This window comes from Homo sapiens, chromosome 10 (assembly GCF_000001405.40).
Source record: "Homo sapiens chromosome 10, GRCh38.p14 Primary Assembly".
Classification (NCBI taxonomy): Eukaryota; Metazoa; Chordata; class Mammalia; order Primates; family Hominidae; genus Homo; species Homo sapiens.
Window position 1 is genome coordinate 90,313,416 of NC_000010.11, and position 21,141 is coordinate 90,334,556.

The 21,141-nt window shown below is 38.9% G+C and overlaps 2 annotated features.

Moving 5' to 3' along the window:
* Positions 5,597-6,332: an enhancer, noted in NCBI's record as "OCT4-NANOG hESC enhancer chr10:92078769-92079504 (GRCh37/hg19 assembly coordinates)". NCBI's record gives its function as "activates a minimal SCP1, AML or CMV promoter by ChIP-STARR-seq in naive and primed H9 embryonic stem cells {active_cell/tissue: H9 hESC(naive and primed)}" and the evidence as "EXISTENCE:reporter gene assay evidence [ECO:0000049][PMID:30033119]".
* Positions 6,333-7,066: an enhancer, noted in NCBI's record as "OCT4-NANOG hESC enhancer chr10:92079505-92080238 (GRCh37/hg19 assembly coordinates)". NCBI's record gives its function as "activates a minimal SCP1, AML or CMV promoter by ChIP-STARR-seq in naive and primed H9 embryonic stem cells {active_cell/tissue: H9 hESC(naive and primed)}" and the evidence as "EXISTENCE:reporter gene assay evidence [ECO:0000049][PMID:30033119]".

The following is a 21,141-nucleotide window of genomic DNA, read 5'->3' on the forward strand; positions in this document are numbered from 1 at the left end:
TGGAATGCTATTTTTAAAAAAAATTCGCATATTCTTAGCTTTGTTATCTAGTTGCTTTGTCAATGGGGATTGGGAAGTTCTTAATTTAAAACTATGCTTCTTCCACTGCCCCAACTTCCTAGAATCCCCTTATCTTAACTTTTGAGATTGGAATATGTCTGCTTAAATTTTTATCTCATGAATGATTTGAAACCATTATCTCATTATCTCCAGGAAACCTTGGAGTCCATAAATTACCATAAGAATTCTCAAGACAGATAAGTATCTACAACTATAAAATGACAAGCTTTTCTGTTTAGGGTATCATGCTCAGTAATTTTTCTTAGCTAAATTCTTGCCAAGACGCAGACCTTCTGTAAGCTGTTTGGAACCTGAGAGATCAATGCTAGGTATTCCTTTGGTAGGCAACTTTTGGTATCAACTTTTCTATCATATACCCCAAGTCATCATTTTTCTCAAACCTTCTGTCTTTTAATATCACAGCAGGATTATCATTTTTAGAATGGTCTTCCTTTAAGTAGTTATCACTAATCCCATCTGGACATAAAAAAGCTAAAGATATTCAGGGAATTGGCACGCTTCCATGTCTTCAAATGGGCCACTTACCAGGATTTCACTCTCTAGTGCCTCACAGCCATACGAGATATGAGATTTAGATATTATTAAGATAGCATTTTAAAGGGAATCAATGAATCATCATATTTAGCCAATTACTCACTTTTTTATTACCCTACAATTTCAGGCCAATAAACCCCAATGACTGACTTCTCTAAGATATAGACAATCTTATTAATGAGTCATTGCCTAATACCCTGCATGATTCAAGAATATCTTGAAACAACAATTACCTAGATATCCAAATCCAGCAAGATTAAGGGACATTTTAAAAATAGATACAATTAGTGTTAAGGCACCTAATTAAACAGATTTCTATTTGGGAGTAAAAATGTCATTGAATTGGCTGTGGTGCTACCGTAATTAGTCATTTAAGCTGCCAAAGCAAAGTGAAAGTCCAAGAACTGATAAGCTTTCTAATAACACATGTACTCTATATTTTTCCCCAGAGATCAACATCAATTTCACTGAGCAGGAGTTTTCAGAATCCATTAGATTCTTCTTTTTTGAAAACTCAGACAACATCAGCATTACTCTACTATTCTATCACATTTCTGGCTAGTCAGAATTTGTCAGAGAACCAGAGGCGGTTCCTTCAGAAATAGTGCAGTTTAAATTTTCAATACCTTATGGATGCGGAAAATATTGGGGCAAAACTAAAACAAAAGGAAACGGTGAAATGGCTGTAAAGGTGCTGGTTTCCATGCAAAAGTAGGAACAGAGGCTTTTATTCCAACCTACTATGCTTACTTTCATTTTGGTGACTTTAGCTAGCATTCCATTCAAAACATGTTTTTTCAGTTTGTGAGCTCACGCCTAACTATTCCTTTCCCCATCACTTCTCTACCACTCACTCTCATGGTTACTTACTAGAGTTCATCATTACAAAAAGTGGCACCACTCCATAAGGGTCATCTGCCACTTCATTTTTAGGTAGTATTGATTCAGTTCCTCTGACTGGAGAGGTAGGAATTCCTCCCTCCTTCCCTGCCTCAAGTAAGTTCTAAGTTTAAAATTCTTTATTTATAAGTACTTAAAGCTTCTCTTTCATTATCAAGTCAAGGAAGACCATGAATCAAATATATAGTTTTCTTTTTAGAATAACACTATACATCAATAATATGTTATAAATGCTCATAATAAATATGAAATGCTAAAAAATTTCTGAGTTATAAATGGAAATTGCAATCCTTTTTAAGTAATTGGGCTTCCTTGGATGTATGTTTTTCATTATTAATATATAAGATGAAAATAAATATATCTTAAATTGGAATGAATTTAAGGTAAGGAAATTATTATTCTTGGGGGTAGAAGGATATTTTTTGAGGTAGTTAAACCAACCCTTCATCTAAAAGCATAAAAGGATTCGATGACAACTCTTTGGGGGAATAAGACAATGGATAAGTCACCCCAATTTACAATGATGCAATCTCGGCTCACTGCAACCTCCGCCTCCTGGGTTCAAGCAATTCTCCTGCGTCAGCCTCCTGAGTAGCTGGGAATACAGGCACGCGCAACCATGCCTGGCTAATTTTTGTATTTTTTGTAGATTCGGGTTTTGCCATGTTGGGCAGATTGGTCTTGAACTCCTGACCTCAGGTGATCCGCCCACCTCTGCCTCCCAAAGTGCTGGGATTACAGGCGTGAGCCACTACACCCAGTGTACACAAGCCCTCTAACTTTTATCAGTCTTTATAGAATTTAATGTCTGATGATACAATGCATAAATTATTTTATTGTTTTATTTTTAAGCATCTTTTAATATGTAATTTTCACCTAAATTCTTGAGGACAGACACAACTTCTTATTGTTTTAAAAATTTTTTCTTTGGCACTTAGCACTCTCCCTGGAAGATGGTAGGTGCTAGATAAATATAACAATAGCTACGCTTCCTAATACAGTTGGTAGTAAACTAGGTTAGTGGTTCCCTGACCTGTGTGTATTAGAATTACCTGGGTAACCTAAAACAAAATCAGGTCTATTGAATCTCCAAATAATCCATAGATACTGACATAGCTTATCCACTGCATTAAACATGGCTTAGTGCTCTATTAGATGTTTTATTTAAAAGGTATTTAATATTCTTAGCAACCGTATAAGGTAAATGTTAACAGCTCTATTATGCAAATAACAGTAACAGCTAACATTTTCTATATGTTTATTGTATACCAAAGTTCTAAGTACTTTTCATGCATTAACTGATAAGAGGAAAAAAAAGAAGTGACTTGCCTGAGACCTGGAAGGAAACACGTGAAAAAGCCTGAATTTGGACTCATTTTTTTTTTTTCAACTCCAGAACTTTTTTCACTGAGTCATGTTGTCTTCCAGGAAATAAAATTATTTGTTAACTCATGGCAAACTGTGACATTTTCACATTAGTTAAAAGCATCCTAGTCAAACTCTTTCCATTCTGTCTTCTGGAATTTTTACTCAGGGGATGCTCATCTGCCCAAAGCCTTCTCAACCCATCTTTGAGGTGACTTCAAGGCAAATGCACAAGCAGAAGCTGGCTCAGACTTCTTTATTTATCAAAACCATTGAGGCCAGCCACCTGGATTACTGGTCTACACAAGCCAAATGGAAGAGAAGAAGTGAATAGTCCCTCAGTGAGACAAATAACTAGTAATAAATACCTATCAGGGAATAATAACAATACTATCTTCTATTACAGAAGCCATTTTACCCTATTCTTAATAATTACCTTATTTTCTATACTTACCAGAGCTAAGCTTAGAGAAAGTTCTGTTCTTTATATATATTTTTTAAATTTTCTTATCAGTCACATTTCAGCTATGCTGTGTGAACAAATGTAGACTCTCTCTCATATCTAATGAAACTTTCATTTTAGAAACATTAACTGGAATCATAATTACTATTTGACCTTCTCTGCATGCTCCTCAAATCCCCTGACGCAAAACAAAATCCAGAGGTTCTTGTTGAAGCCTGAATTATTTATATGCTAAAAAGGAAGGTGTTTAAATGGTATGGCCAAAATGGGCACTTACCTTGGAACTGTCCAGGACACCAGATATAAAAGGAAAGGTCCAGATAAAGCACGTGATAGTAAAAAACTTAGAAATTTGGAGCAGAAAGCCTTGGGTTGTGGAACCATTTCTGGCTCTTACCAACTGATACAAAAACCTCCAACATGTAAAGCCTCAATTTTCTCATTTGCAGAATGGGAATAATGGCACAAACATGGTAAGGTTGAGGTGAAGATTAATGAAATGACATACACGCCTCCCCAACAGGCACCAGCTCACTGATCTCAGCATGCAGCACTTCCTCTCAGCCCACTGGCATGCCCTTCCTCTGCAGGGAAGTGGGGGCAGAATGATGTTTCCAACCTTGTGCCTAGTAACTCTGCAATGCGCAGCCTCTGCCACCCACACCCACTGGCATAAGCTCCTTGGGATGTCTCTCAGGTAACTCAGAGTTCTAAAACTTCAGACACAACCTTGAAGTCCTGTAAATGCAACACAATGGCATAGCGTAGGAAAAGAGAAAAGAAATGAGATGTATCTAATAAATGTGTGTGGGCAGAGAGGTAGGCAGGCATTATCTTGAAGGAATGAAGTCTTAAGGGTACAGTTTTTCTACGTCTCATTAATATTCTTGATATTCTAAACATCAGCCTTACTTTTTTAGTAAATAAGAAAGAATAAAATCATGATTTGTTCACGTTAGCATATCTCACATGCTGTATTTCCATTGAATGGCTTGTGTGCAGGGATAAAGAAGCATAAATAACTTTAGATCTTGAAATTCCATATATTTCCAGTTCCAGTAATAATGCTAATAGCATAGTAGAATTTTATAAAACATTTTTCATATGTATTTCTCACTTAATCCCATCAACAACTTTCTGACATGGACAAGAAAGTTATATCATTATTGTCCTCATTGCATAAATTAGGAAACTCTGACACATCCAAATCTGTTAGATTATGCTGTGCAATGAACCCCAAACTCAGTAGGTTACAATGACAAGGGTTTATTTCCCACTCACATAAGTGCAGTTGTAAACTACCTTTGACTGTGTCCTACATCTTCTTGATTCCAGGATCCACACTGAAGAAGCAGCCCTTTCTCCGTTGTATGGCAGAGAAAAAAAGAGCAGTGCTGGAACCACATATGGCTCTTAGAGCTTTTGCTAAGACTTAGCATAAAACACTCTGTTTATATTTCTTTCACTAAACCAAGTCACATATCCAAGCCTGTTGCTAGAAGCAGGGGGAGTATAATCCTCTTATAGGGAACAGAGAGGAATTGGGAACAACAACTTGCATATAAAGGTAAGTATCAGAGCTGGAAATAAAGCTAAGATTTTCTGATCTTTAAATACAATACTGTTGGGCCTAGCACACTCTTGCGGTGAATGAGCATAGCAGGTACATATAGGCAAATTATGAATTAGTTTGTAATTTTTAATTTCAGAGAAGATATGCAGCTGACGATAAAATTTGAGGGTCATCAGAGTACAAATCCTTCGTAACCATGAGACTAGATTATTTGTAGTTTATGGTAATAATAAAGCCAAAAGTGTGACCTTGGAGGTAAATGGGTAAACTATGGTTGAGAGATAGATTCTTGAAAGATAGAGTGTCAAGGAACTTAGAGATTAAGACATTGAAAGGATCATCGACATGAATATTAAAAACCACCAAAAATGATGGCAATAATAGAATTGGAAAGAGTTCATTGAGCCAGGCTCTAAAAGCTTTAGGCAGTGAGAGAGTAATCTGGGGATCTGAAGAGGAGCACAACTAGAAGGACCAGTCGGTGTTCTAGTTGGATGACCTGTTGTGTAAAGCTCTGTGTGTGTGTAGCAGTAGCAGGAAAGGGGAAGTCAGGAAATGGGAAAGAGAAGTGGTCTGAAGTGGTGATGACAAGGAAGGCATATAACAATCTCCTTCAGAGACCAGCAGCAAGAGGGTTTTAGAGAGAAAATACCCTCCACTTAGGGGTTCTACAAGGAAAGCAGTGAGCTTAGGGTGACCCAGTTTTTAGCAAGATGGCAAAGGAAGCATTCAGAGAATAGTCTGAAGATACGGGAGATTTTGCTCCCGATTGATCTTGAGTCTAAGAATTTACAGTGGAAGGGTTTCAGAGCTTGAAGTAGCATGGGCGATGGATTAGGAGTTATTTGTATGAAGTGACAGGAAGATAAAAATCTGAGGGATAAAGGATGACCTGGGAGTCTGGGCTGCTCTGGTGATTCGAAGCAGAAATCAATGGCACCATGAGCTGAGCCTTGATGGTGCTGAAGCAGGTGGTAATGATAAGTCTGTGAGTATTCATGAAGGAGAACATGTGGGTGTCTGAGTCTCTGCTGGTGTGGAGTCAAAGAAAAGGCCAGGTTTTATCTGCACTGGCCAAGGCTCTGGGGTTTCCTTCTCATTACTGTAGAAGTCACTGCATATCCTATTTGTATTTTATCCCCAGTGCCATCCAGTGCACAGAGATGAAGCTCAGTAAATGTTTGTTGACTGAGAACAGTCCCTGTTTACGATAAACTAATAATAAACATTTGTTAAATTTGAAGACTGGAAATAATGTACATGAAACAATTGTGAATAACTTGGCATGTCTGTGGAGTTTTTCATACCAGATGCTGTTAAGCTTCGCATGGCAGAATGATCTGAGAATGAGTCATCACTGACTCATGGATCCAGCTTGTTTCACCTGCAGCGCTCACTTTAAGTCACAATGACCTTTTCTGACTACTTGTAATGGCAGCACAGTGGGGACTGCAGTTCCTGGAGAGTGCACCATTAATAGAGTAGTTAGCCAGTACTGTTTTGTTGTCCCTCGGAGTAAAAGGGAAAGTGAAGCAAGAGAACAGAGATTTAATACTACATATTTTTTCACTCAATTGAGAAATACAACTGAAAAAAAATATATATCCTTATAAAACTTACTGTTTTAAAAGCGCAGTCCTTGCAAGTTGATTTGGGTGTTTTCAGATAGTGAAAAACTTTTAAAAGATATTAAATTATTACTTTTACTTATGAAGAATAAAAGGTAACATAGAGACATAGAAATCAAGAAATCCTCGAGTATTTTCTTTAGAAACACCCCGATTAGAGAAGGAGTTTCCGTTTTTAAGAGAAAATTAAACCAGATGACCTTAAGTCCTTTTTAACACAAGTTTGTATTAATACCAATTAATAAATTAATCAGATTTGAAAGATTTGTGGACAAATGCCTTTATAACGTTCTTAACTGATATGGACTGAACTGTATGCCCCCCCTTTCCCCCTGGAATTCATATCCTAAAGCTGTAACTCCCAGTGTGACTGTATCTGGAAATAGGGTCTTTAGAAGGTAATTAAGGTTAAATGAAGTCATAGGGAAGGATCCTAATCCCGTAGGACTGTGGCCTTAAAAGAAGAGAAAGAGATGTATGAGTTCCTTATATATTTTGGATATTAAACCTTTATCACATATGTGGTTCGCAAATATTTTCTCTCACTCTGTAGGTTGGCCTTTCATTTTGTTGATTGTTTCCTTTGCTGTGAAGAAGCATTTTACTTTTATGTAGTCCCGTCTGTTTATTCTTATTTTTTGCTTTTTTGCCTGTGTTTTTGGAGTGATATCCAAAAAATCCTTGCCAAGGCCAATGTCAAGGGGCATCCCCCTGCCCCATCCTTTTTTTTTTTTTTTAGACAGACAGGGTCTTACCCTGTCACCCAGGCTGGAGTTTAGTGGAGCAGTATCACAATCATAGCCATGGCATCAGACTCCTGGGCTCAAGCTATCTTCCTGCCTCAGCCTCCCAAGTAGCTGGAACTACAGGCATGAACATATAAACCTCCTAGGAGTTTTACAGTTTCAGGTCTTACATATTCCGGGCTGTGGGGGAAATGAGGAGATGTTGGTCTGGTTGAAGAGTACAAACTTTCAGTTCTAAGATGAATAAGTTCCAATATACAGCATGGTGACTATAGTTAATACTTTATTGTTTATTTGAAATTTGCTAAAAGAGTAGACCTTAAGTGTCCTCACTTCTCTTGGACAAACCAAAAGTGCAACTATGTGTGGTAATAGAAGTGTTGATTAATTTGATTGTGGTAATCATTACACAAAAATATACGTATGTCAAATCATAATGTTGTATACTTTGAGTATACAAAATTTTTATTTGTCAATTATACTTTAATAAAGCTAGGAGGGAAAAGAAGATGAAGAAAGAAAGACTTCTCTGTCTTCACCATGTGAGGACACATCAAAAAGGTGGCCGTCTGCAAGGCCCTCACCAGACACCAACCATGCTGGCACCTTAATCTTGGAATTCCAGTCTCTACAACTGTGAGTCATCCAGTTTAGGGCATTTTATTATGGCGGACACCTACCCACCTTTCTAGAAATGATGCTTGTTTGTTTCTGAAGGAATAATAGAATCATAACTTATTATTGGTTAGGAGCTGAATTCTGAAACATTGTACAACAGTAAAAAATTTGCCATGGAAATATTTAATTATTTTAAGAAATATTAAGAGACATTAAGATCCTCCCTCAGACTGCTAACGTCTCATTGGTATGGACTGTGCTTACTGGTGCATCACCAGCATACTGAGTGAATGAGCAAAGGCATCCAAAGAATCAGCTGAATGGTAAGGGATTGTGAAATAAGAAAAATTCTGAATAATATGTTGCCTGAAGAACTCACATGAAATTAAACTTTTAGCTTTCTTCAGCAACCATGTTCATGTTGAGTGTGGCTCAGGATATCAAAAAATATAAAACTCATTTGTGTTTTTTATTTTTCTGATTTACTACCAAGGAACAATTTTCTAATTTACTACTAAGTCAGTATCAAGACTATTTCCCTTGGATCAATAAAGACAATCACATTTTAATGCCATTGTAGATTTAGGTACCTGAGACTTAGTATTACCTGCAAATAGATGTCACCACATAAAAAGGTTGATTGCACACAAGCAAATGTAAGTATACTAAACAGCACCAAAACTGATCCCTAGTCATCCCCATGTTACTTTGACATTATTCTTATAAGTTTATCATCTAAACTTGTAATTTTCCCTTCAGTTAGCGGAGCTTGTAAGAAAAGTCATAAAATGTTATAACTATTATTAAAAATGAAAGGGAAAATTATTTTTTAAAAAACTCAGTCTGTTCTCTAGTCAGTTGGTGAGAAATCTGGCCAAAAGGATGCAAAGTCGGGCTTTCTGAAAACAGGAGTTCATCACCTTTCCAAAAGGCCAGCTGAGGAAATGTGTTTTTTTATCCTCTTCCATAACTCTTGATGGTACATTTTTGCACTGTATTAAGCTAGAAAAGAAGACCTGGACTAACTGGATCTCATGAATGTGTGAACTTCGTATTTAAAAAATACTAGCACTGAAAGAATCCATCTTAGTGTCCTGGACCATCCAACTAGAAATAATCTATGACCCTCGTGTGATGAATTGATAAATGTCTGCCAAGCTTTTTGTTAACTCCTCTTCACTATTCCTTTCTTCTTGAATCTGAAGCTCTTCAATCTACCATTGTCTTTGTACAATTTCCTCCTTTCTAGGGAAGGCAATGTAGAAAGCCAGTAAAGTATTATTTACCAAGCTCTAGAGTCACAACAAGTTTAAGTCCCAGCTCATCTACTTAAAACATAAATGATCTTGGACAGTTATATTTCCCCTCTCTATGGCTCAGTTTCTTATTTGTAATAGGGAAGCAATCATGGTGCCTAATCAGGTTGGGTACCAGGTTGCTAGATGGATTAAACACAATAATATAGATAGTTCTCCTTGCCTACAGTAAATGGTCAAAATGTTAGCCACTACCATTTTATTATTGCATTTTAAGATTCTTGTAAACGGGGCCTACTAACCTACTTTTCTCAGTCTTGTAGCTTTTTCCCTCCTATTTCTAAGAATCTTAGGGGAGAAGAATTGGCCTGCTTCCCCTCTAGAAATTTTTATGTCAGAAAACTATTTCTTTTTACTCCTCAGCTATCTGTGCTTCTCCTCACTTTTTCTTGCAGTATTTCAGTTTTGTCTTAGTTTTTTCTATAATCTCCTCCCACAAAGCCAAATGGTTTTCATCTCTTTTTTCTAGGAAAAGCTTCAGCTCCCTGTATTCTGTTTCCTTATAATCTGAGGATCTTCTCTGCACTCATCTGCACAGATGTTCTTTGCATAGATCTTTCTCTCTGTCCCTGTCCCACGTGGCCATGCGTCAGGGCAGACTGGGTTCCCTTTGTTTTAGTTTAAGGGTCCTGGGAAATTTTCATACCTTAGCCACTTTGCTCCTAAATGTTACAAACAAAATTTATATTTATCTATTGAATTTACAGCAGCCATTGATAGGTCCTTACCCCTTCACCCTTCCACACATTTTTGCTGCCTGCTTTTTCAGCTTTGTTTGAAATGATTCTCCTGCATGCACATGCTCCTCTGAATCTACTGTCTGATCAACTTTCAGTTTCCCACAGATACCAGTCTGTCTCTGGGATCAGGGTCTTCCCACATGTTCATCTCATTGTCTGGAATTTTCTTTTCTTTCTTATTCACTTGATCAATTTTTATTCATCTTTTTTATCTCAACTTGGATTTTGGGAAACTTTTTGTAAACTCTCAGGGTTTTGATTTTATGTATTCCGTGTATAGTGTGCTTCTCAGAGACACATTTATTAAAATTAAATTATATATGCACTTATTTGTCAAATGACTGGCTCCTCTACCCAACTATAGGTTGGAATTTTGTTCATTGATATAACTCTAGCACTTAACACAGGTAGTAGATACTCAGTAAATGCTCAATGTATGAATGAATGAATGAGTGAATGGATGAATGAATATGTGATTTGCAGGCCCCTTCCTATTACTTCTCATGGTATGATACATACCTTTCTCTGACTAGTTCCTCTACCAAAGCTAACCATTCTATACTCCTAAATGAAATGTGCTAGACAGAGGGTTCATCTTGTCCCCATGCCAGAACTTTATATTTATACTTTTCAGTACAAACTCTTCTTACTTGAACTCTCAGAGATTTGAAATATCTTTGTAATCAATTCCCAATACAAAGCTATTGATTATTTTATTTTTAGTTTGCTCAGAAGAACCACATAGTCTCTGTCCATTAGGAGCCTCCCCAGAGATCTCTCTGGCTGAACAGCTGTTCTCAGTGCCTGTGAAGTAAGTACCAATTAAGCAGGATGATTGCTTCCCTACTACAAATGGGGAAACTGCGCCACAGAGAGGGAAAATAACTTGTACAAGATCATTTATCTATTAAATAGATGAGCTGGGACTTCAACTCATGGCCAATCTCCTTTTGACAATGTTCTCTAAATAGCCTTTTCCTCTCACTGCAACTCCACAATGTTTTTTATTTTCTTTTTTAAAAATACTCTGTTTCTTTATGAATCTTGCTGAAGATGGGAGAGGCATGTACAGGTGTCCTTCAAATCTGCTTCTGCTGCCTTTCTCCTGTCCCTCTCTAGTAGGTAGTTTGAGATTTAAGCCCAGAGTGCTTTCATTACCTTCCTGCCTACCTGCTCCACTTCCTGGGCAGGTTTCCTGCTTGGCAGCAATTCCTCCAATTGTAGCTCTTCATTCTGTTTTTAAACATTTCTCCATGCAATCTTGATTATTCTTATGGACTATGGAGGAAACACTTTTGACCCTTATGATAACCTGTGAAGTCAGTAAGCATCAGGATAAAATTGGGACCTCTTAACAGACTCCTGTACTCCAGCTGAATCTCCGGTTTGGGCTTACAATTTCTTCTCCTAATATGTTGGTGATACATGTTTTGGTAGAGAATATTATTCTCAAAAATTGCTCCATGTGGCTAGGCACAGTAGCTCATACCTGTAATCCCAGCACTTCGGGAGGCCAAGGTGGGAAGATGGCTTCAACCCAAGAGTTCAAGACCAGCCTGGCCAACATGTGACCTCATCTATGCAGATAATTTAAAAATTAGTCAGTCATGGTGGCATGCATCTGTAGTACTAGCTACCCAGGAGGCTGTGGTGGGAGGATTGCTTGAGCCCAGGTATTTGAGGCTGCAGTGAACCATGATCACACCACTGCAATCCACCCTGGGTGACAGAGTGAGACCCTGTGCCCCCCACCCCCAAATAAAAGGCCCCATGTGAATTTTCAATAAGAAAACCATTTAAAGTGAGTAAAGGCCAAATTTCTCAAGGGATTCTGACTATTTACATCCATGGAGAGAGAATACTAGAGGCCAGTCTTAGTCTGCTCATGCTGCTATAGCAAAATACCTTAGACAGAGCAATTTTTTTTATTTTTTGTAAAGATGGGGGTCTATGTTGCCCATACTGGCCTCAAACTCCTAGTCTGAAGCACTCCTCCCACCTCAGCCTCCTAAAGTACTGAAATTATAGGCATGAGCCACTGCACCCAGGCTTGGGTAATCTTTAAAGAACAGCAATGTATTTTCTCACAATTCTGGAGGCGGGGAAGTTCATGATCAAGACACTGGCATCTTGGGAGGACCTTCTTGCTGCATCATCACATGTCAGAAGGCAGGAAAGGCAAAAGAGACAAATGTTATGTCCTCACATATTAGAAGAGCAAAAGAGCAAGTTAGCTGAAAGCTGCACGAAACCTCTTTTATAAAACTCTTTATTGGCCGGGTGCGGTAGCTCATGCCTATAATCCCAGCACTTTGAGAGGCCGAGGTGGGTGGATCACCTGAGGTCAGGAGTTCGAGACCAGCCTGGCCAACATGGTAAAACCCCCATCTCTACTAAAAATACAAAAATTAGCCAGGAGTGGTGGCATGCACCTGTAATCCCAGTTACTTGGGAGGCTGAGGGAGGAGAATTGCTTGAGCCCGGGAAATGGTGGTTGCAGTGAGCCGAGATCGAGCTACTTCACTCCAGCCCAGGTGACAGAGCAAGACTCCCTCTCAAAAACAAAACAAAACAAAACAAAGCAAAAAACACTCTTTACTCATGAGGGACAAGTCCTTATGGCCTAGTTACCTCCTCTTAATACCATCACACTGGCCATTATGTTTCAGCATCTGAGTTTTGAAGGAAACACATTAAAACCAAACAGAGCCTGACCCCACATATTCCCCCCAAGTCCTGTCTTATTGTAGCCTGGTGTGACCTTTAGTGGAACCAGAAGTCTTGGTGGTCAGCCACTTGAGCCAGCTAGTGGTGCAGCATTGTGGCCAAAAGAGGGAAGATGGAGAAAAGGTTGAAGAGAAGCTGAGGAATGAGGACTAAAGTGAGAATAAAGTAGGGGTATTCAGCAAAAAGGAGTGAAAGCAGCTGTGTAGAGCTGAGGCTTGGAGAGTTGAGAAAAGGAAAAATATTTCTGTGAATTACAAGTTGCCATTTTGAGATGTTAAACCAATACTGGAATTTCTCTTTAATTATATTTGGTTGTTAGACTGTGTTATTTTAGTGAAATGCTGTGCATAGGCTGGATCACATTAAGATGCCAGAGGTTTTTGGGTTTTTTTGTGTTTTTTTTTTTTCAGGATTTCTTTTCTTTCCTGTGATTTTGTATTTAGTTATAATACTCAGTATGCTTCTGAATAACAAATCAACACAGATCTGTGCCAAGGACTTATTTTCACCATGACTGTCTGACTACTGGACACAGGATACAAGGGAGTAAGGCTAAATTAGATGTGAGTCATAATGGTTCTTGGAATATAAGTACAAAGTCAGTGGGGAGCAAGTTAAGAACTGATGCTGGCACAGCATTATGCAAAATTGCAGACTTGAAAGGAGGATAGTTTTTAATTTAAACTATATAGATCCTCATTATCCTAAGACTTCAGAGTCCTTTTAAAATGACAAGAGGAAATCAATGCCAGACCTCCTTGGAAGGGCTTTAAGTTACTGCTACGCTGTGCCAGTGGAGGCAGGTTCCCCTAAGGACTGGGCTGTTATTGTGGAACTTCAGTGAAACAGTCATATAATCCATGGGTACAAACTTTCTTCCACCAGAAACTGAGGAAGTTCTTAGGAAGAACTAAGCCAGAGGACAGAGAAAATAACTTTGAGTCATGGTTCAAACATGCCATTAATAAGGTACTGAGATTTAACTCCTCAGTGGCTGAGAAATGCTTATGCCAAGTGTTCCCAGCCACCTAGTCATGAAGATGATCATTGCTGTGGAGAACTGAAGCATTTCTTAGAACAAGGGTGTGGTGGCAGACAGTGCCTCGGACTCACAATACTAACTTATGACCAAGTATCAGTGGACAGGGAAGACTTGCTACATCTAAGTTTTCAGAGAGGGAGAACTCCAACAGTGAATTCTCCATCAAGGCTGTAAAGTGATGCTTAGAGTATCAAAGCCAAAGAAAACAAGCATATAAACCAAAAAAAAAAAAAAAAAATGCTGGAACAAAATTTTTAATCAATGGTAACCCAAAAAGATCCTGAAATTCTCCCTGCGATTGAAGTTAATCAGGGCCTGGGATGAAAGAAGGATTTTATGTCAGTACTTTCAGAATGAGGCAGAATAATGGCATTCTTCTTGGTGATGGCCAAGAAGACCCAGGCAGCCAGGATGATGCAGGAAGTCAGACCTCTTGAAGTCAGGCTTTCCCTCTCAAGCAAGGTTCAGGAACATTAAGGAAGCTCCCTTATCCCAACAGAGGGATAGAATCCTGGAAGCTTTTAAAACTGTAATTGAAGACTGAATTCTGGGACTTTCTTCCAATATGGTTGTGTTGCTATAATCATTCCTCTTGTATTTCATCTCCCATTGCATGATGAAACAAGCTAAATAATCACGTGCATGCTATCTGTAATTTTAGCAGTTGGAGAGAGCTCCGCCTTCAGTGAGAGCTGTGATAAATCACTGGTAACTTTCTGTTCATGAGAGGTAGGGAAATTATTCTTCGCTTCTCCAGGGTCACAAACCTTTGAGAACAGAAAATTGAAATCTTCAGCCACCATTTTTACCTGCAGGAAACTCTCCGTTACCTAAATACACAGATTGTTAAAAAGGGCATGATAAAACATGAGAACTATGCTCTCTTGGGTTTCCATATGCTTAGCCCTAGGAGGGGCGATGAAGGGTCAGGGAAGAGGGAGTGACTATGACCTCCTGCGATCATCCCAGGATAAACCTCAGCCCTCCAATGGCAGCAGAAGTAATGAAAGTCTGACAGAGATCAAAAGAGGAAAGGGGAAACTGTTTGTGAGAAGTTGGAGTCTCAGGAGAGGCCTGAGCTGTCTTAAAGGATGCATAAGAGTTGTCAGAAAGAGGATACCGTGGCCAAAAGCATGAAATAAGTAGTTTGAAATTGCTAGAAATTAAAGTGTATACACGGAAATTGCAAGAGATGAATATAGCAAGGTAAGCAAGGCCACCATTAGAGAATGTGAGATATTGACCAAATATATTTGAGGGCTCCTGACCAGTGTATTGGTTAAAACTGTATTACAAGATTGATGGACACATACAAAGCATAGTGATTTATTTTGTATTGTCAAATGCACCATTCCTAGCTATTTTCATATTTCCTACTGCAATAAAAAGGCATCAGCACTGTTATAACTACACAATGTCATGGCTTTTCAGAACCTGTTTGTATGAAACACTACAGGCTTTCTTGCCTCTGATGTTCCCTAATGCCACCTATTTAATGCTGGTTACATCATTAGTCATGATTCTGCATCATTCTCATGCTGCCTGTGGATACTGGCTTCCAATGACTCTTAAAAGCTTTTACTCTGCTTACTTGATGATAACTACAAATGTAACTCTTGCAAAAAAATGTGAAAGATAATTTTTTAGCCACAATAGATTTATCATTTAGAACGTTATGGTAGAACAACCCACCTTCCTCCCATTATTCTCTTGGACTCTTTAGGCCATTACTATGGCATTCCTAGAATGTGACTTGTGTATGCAAATTGCACACCTGTGTCCTGCACACTGCCACAGAAAGGAAATATAGGAAAGGGGGCAGGCAGGGGAAGAAGAGTAGTCTCATTTGCATAAGTAATCTTTGTCCTTCATCCAGCTCAAGACTGACCTAGGAGAACACAATGTCACCACAGGGGTGGAGATAAGAAAGACATGGATCAGCAGGGCCTGTTGATGCTGCCATTTGTAAAAGCCTTCTGATCAGACAAGGGCAGCCACTTGTAGAGAATGAACTGACATATGCCATGGAGCCTGTGGAGGAGGTGGGATGCCAGCAGTGATAGACACACAGGGAAAAGAATATCCGCCTCCACCCCACCACCTTCAGTTGTTATAGACCAGAGGAAGCATCACAGTCAGGACACAGATGGGTGAGAGGCAACATGGGGTTCTACATATATAACTCAAGCATCATCCATGGACTGTCAGTAGCCCAGATCCCTGAACTCATCCTGTGTCTAACATGAGGGCAGTAACTCAAAATGAACACATCAGCATCCTTTTTGTGGCTCATTTTCATACAATTATGCCAAAGAAGTACCATACTAGTCCTTGAGCTCCTTAGGGTACCTGTTCAACCTCATACGGGTAGTAGAGGGTTGGAGAGCACCTTGAAGAAAAGAAATATGGACCAGGGCCTACATAGGTCTCAATCTGACCTCAAAGTGCCTCATCCAGATGGTATTTCCATCCCAGTTAGTCTCAAGATTTTCATGAGGAGAATACAGAAAACTTCAAGGAAGGTGCTCTAAAACATGGTGGACCTCCTGAATCCTAAGCCTAGGTCAGGGCTCTTATTTCACCTGCACGCCACCTCTGAGATGGAGCAGCATGGACAGTATTGAAGATAAGCTAGGGACAGCTCATGGAAGACCTTGTAATGCCATGCTCAGGAACTTAAATTCCATCTGCAACTTAGTAATTCCAACATGCCTTTTCTTTAATGCAATGAATGTTATTAGGAAAAATAAAGACATTCTGGTCAAATATTAATAAGTGGGAAACATGGGACATCTCATAGCCTTTAATACATTAATCTGAATTTTAAATCTTCTAAAAGTAGATAAACTGTACATATTTGGTATAACTTTGCCTTTAAAAATAACACATGAAATCATTTAGTTGTTATGAAGTACATTCCTTAATTAGTATTCCACAGAACACACTTTGGAAAAAGCTGCAATAGACATGAGAGTCATTGCAAGGGTTTCATGCATAATAGATTTTCATTTTAGAAAAAAATGGTTTAGGCCAGGCGCAGTGGCTCACGCCTATAATCCCAGTACTTTGGGAGACTGAGGCAGGTGGATCACGAGGTCAAGAGATCGAGACCATCATGGCCAACATGGTGGAACCCTGTCTCTACTAAAAATAGGAAAATTAGCTGGGCATGTTGGTGCGCGACTGTAGTCCCAGCTACTCGGGATCCTGAGGCAGGAGAATCGCTTGAACCTAGGAGGCAGAGGTTACAGTGAGCTGAGATTGAGCCATTGCACTCCAGCCTGGTGACAGAGCGAGACTCGGTCTCAAAAAAAAAAAAAAAAAAAAAAGGTTTAGGAAAGCAAATGGTTAATGGATAGAGAAGAGAATAGGAAAGACCAAGAGAAAGGCAGTTATTGTAAGAATTAGTCAGATGATGATGAGGTCTTACCTAAGCCAGTATTAGCAGTATGTGGAAAAAAAGCACATTTCCTGGATAAATTAAGCTATATACATCTGGCTAAAAATAACTAAATGAGGAAAAGAGACATTTAATTATTTCAGGCTATTGAGTCTCCCACTACAATCAATGATAGCAAGCCCCAGAATGTATGTGAGAATGTATTTTTGGAGTCTTAGTTATCAAGTACATTTTACTTACTGCCAACTGGCCTCTCTGAGTATGATTCTTGTATTTAAGGATTTTTACTTTTTCGTGAAACATGGCCTTTAAACAAAAGTCAACCACTTCATTTGCACTCAATATGTTCTGTTGCTGCAGGGAAAGCTGGTCATGTTGAACTTACTGAGAGACAGTATGTCAGACTCTGATGTGATGATTTCCTAAGGTATTCTCAAGGATGCTTTTGACCATATGTAATTATTCTCCTTTGAAGATGACTTCAGCATCCACTCCCTGTGTAGGTTATAACTGTGATCCCAGGTAGGACTGATGACCGCATACTTCCCCCTTTCTCTCTAAATCTATTCACTTGATTCTCCAGCCCCGGCTACAAAAATATATTTGCATCCTTTTATAAGAGAGAGTTTTAATAATCTCTAGACAAAAGTAGAAGCACCATGGGCATTAGAAGCTGAAAGGACTGAGATTTTATGGCTTTTCTGGGAATATCAAACACCAATAAAACCAGCCCACTCAATTTTTGAATAATAAAACTGAAATTCAGAGAAAGAAACTGACCAAATCTGATCCAATATGGCAGAACTGAAAGGTAAACCCAAATCTTTAAGAGGTTTTAATCTCTAGAGACTATTTATCTCTCTTAGGATACTCCAGAAAAGGCTTTTCTTTCTTTTTTTTTTTTTTTTTTTTTTTTGAGACGGAGTCTCGCTCTGTCGCCCAGGCCGGACTGCGGACTGCAGTGGCGCAATCTCGGCTCACTGCAAGCTCCGCTTCCCGGGTTCACGCCATTCTCCTGCCTCAGCCTCCCGAGTAGCTGGGACCACAGGCGCCCGCCACCGCGCCCGGCTAATTTTTTGTATTTTTAGTAGAGACGGGGTTTCACCTTGTTAGCCAGGATGGTCTCGATCTCCTGACCTCATGATCCACCCGCCTCGGCCTCCCAAAGTGCTGGGATTACAGGCGTGAGCCACCGCGCCCGGCCTGAAAAGGCTTTTCTTGAAAGAGCAAACATGTGTTATGTTATTTTCTCTTAATTTCAAAGGACATGCAAACTTTAGCTGTGTGGAATTACATGGTACAAAGGCATAGAACCTTCATATGTATCTCCTATATTTTAAAATGCCTCATTTTTATCTTCTTCAATATAGAGTAATTCAATACAAACAGAAAACAGTTGCATTTTGAGAAGTTTGTAAATAATTTGATTTTCCTAGAAGTTTAACAGAAAGATTCATTCTACCTATAAATGTAAAGAAGGTTGTTCCTTACTCCATAAACACTGGCATACTCCACTTTATCACAAAATACCAGGGGCCGAGTCTTCAATATTGCAGTCCTTTGTAGCTAACCGCCTGTATGGACATTTAGTTACAGCCAAAGGTATTTGTTCTTCATTTGACTGGATGGGATCCTGAGCCCTTTTGACTATTGGCTGATGTAATTACAGAGCTCTCAACTTTCTACCACAGGAGCCCCTGATGATGCCTAAGAAGAACTACAGCAAAACATAATGGGCTATGAGTTGAAGAGGAGGGTATCCTGGTGCCTCACTGGTGATGGCTTGGCCAGCCAGGTTGACATTCCACACCACTGTTAAAGACAGGTGCCCATCAGAAGCAGCAGGCCTTCTGGGAAACTGAGGAACAACAGCTGCAGAGGCTGCAGCAGGGCAGCAGCCACAATGACACAGTGTTGTTCAAAGAGTGTGGTGATGTTGGGAGTGATAGAGGGAAGGCAGCACGAAGTGGCTTACAGGAGGGAAGTCAAAAGGGGTGGAAAGCCAAATGCTGCTGACCAAAAGCTGGTGGTGGCACTGTGGTAACGCAGCAATGCCAAGCACATCATCTGTAGCAACCTTGTGGCCCATAAAGGTGATCTGCAGAAGAACAAGATCCCAAAGCTATTGGGTGGCAGGAGCACAAAAAAGACAAAGCTAAGTAACCAAACTTCATCTTCACCAGAAGCTTCAGACTGCAGCTAGGGCATGTTGGAGGAAATGGAAGTTAGAGAATAACAGAGCATAATCCCATCTGCCTTTTTTTTTTAATGGACAGATGAAATTGTATGAATTTACTGTGTACAACATGATGTTTTGAAGTATATATATATATATATGTTACAGAATGACTAAATCTAGCTAATTAACATATTCTTTACCTCATACAGTTATCATTTTTGTGGTGAGAACACTTTATATCCACTCTGTTAGAATTTTTCAAGAATGCAGTATATTATTTATTTTAGTCACCATGTTGTACAATAGATCTCTTGAACTTATTCCTCCTATCTAACTGAAATTTTGTATCCTTTGACCAAAATCTCCCCAACACCCACCAACCACCCAAGCCCCTGGCAACCACCATTTCTACTCTCTACTTCTATGAGATCAACTTTTTAAAATTCCACATATGAATGAGATCGTGTAGTGTTTGTCATTCTATGACTGCCTTACTTCACTAAACAATGTCCTCCAGGTTCATCCATGTTGTCACAAATAACATGATATCCCTTTTATGGCTGAAGAGTATTCAATTGTGTATATGAACCCCATTTTCTTTATCCATTAATCCATTGATGGATGTGTCTATTCACCCGTTGATTTCATATATTGACGATTGTGAATAATGCTACAATAAACATGAGAGTGCCGATATCTCTTCTATATACTAATTAATTTCCTTGGGATATATACTCAGTAATGGGACTACTGGATCATATGGTAGTTCTGCTTTTAATCTTCTAAGAGACTTTCATACTGCCTGTATTTTAAAAGAAATATGTGTACATGTTTATGCATTTGCATATATATGCATGAGTGTAAGGGGGTATAGATAGATTGTATGAGCATAGGAAAACATTTGGAAGCATATTAATCAAATTATTTACTATGATTATCTCTAGTTGAAAAAGAAGACAGGTGGAGGAGGGCACTCTCTTTTCTTAATTATACAAAAAATGGGTTGACATCCATGGCAGTAGCAATGGATTTCACTTTTTTTTAAGTGTTTGTTTATTTCTATACATACATTTCCAAAAGTCTAACTCTGTGTTGCAGCTCCATTTAGTGGGAAGTTAGAAAAAACTTCTTCATATGCGTCATCCTTATTTTATAACTCTGCAAATGGGTATATCCTTCTGACCCTGCAGAAATATGAAGCTCAAGGGCTTCCAAGAGTGTCCCGTACTTGGGAAAGTAATATGATGAAAATATGATATTGGCTTTTTCCTTTTATTTTCATCAAAAAAGAAAAAAATATACTTGAAACATCCTTGTAGGAAAATTGCCATTCCAGAAGATATGGGAAAACCTTGTTATTTTCGCATTCCCCATCAATCCATGCTTTTGAGGTCCTATACCAGTGGCCATGTCTATGGATTTGGTCATGCCAAAGGACACTTCTCCAGTGTTTTTACTGCAGGAAGCCAACTGTCTTCCTTCCTATTCTGAATTGAGGAGACCTTAATAACATGAATAGCTGAGAGGTAGCCAAAGTAGCTTTATTTATCCCTTGACTTGATGTCTCTATTCTTTTGCCCCAGATTACAGCCCAGACAAGCAAAAGAAATGAGAATAAATGGTGCTGGGAAAACTGGCTAGCCATATGTAGAAAGCTGAAACTGGATCCCTTCCTTACACTTTATACAAAAGTTAATTCAAGATGGATTAAAGACTTAAATGTTAGACCTAAAACCATAAAAACCCTAGAAGAAAACCTAAGCAATGCCATTCAGGACACAGGCATGGGCAAGGACTTCATGACTAAAACACCAAAAGCAATGGCAACA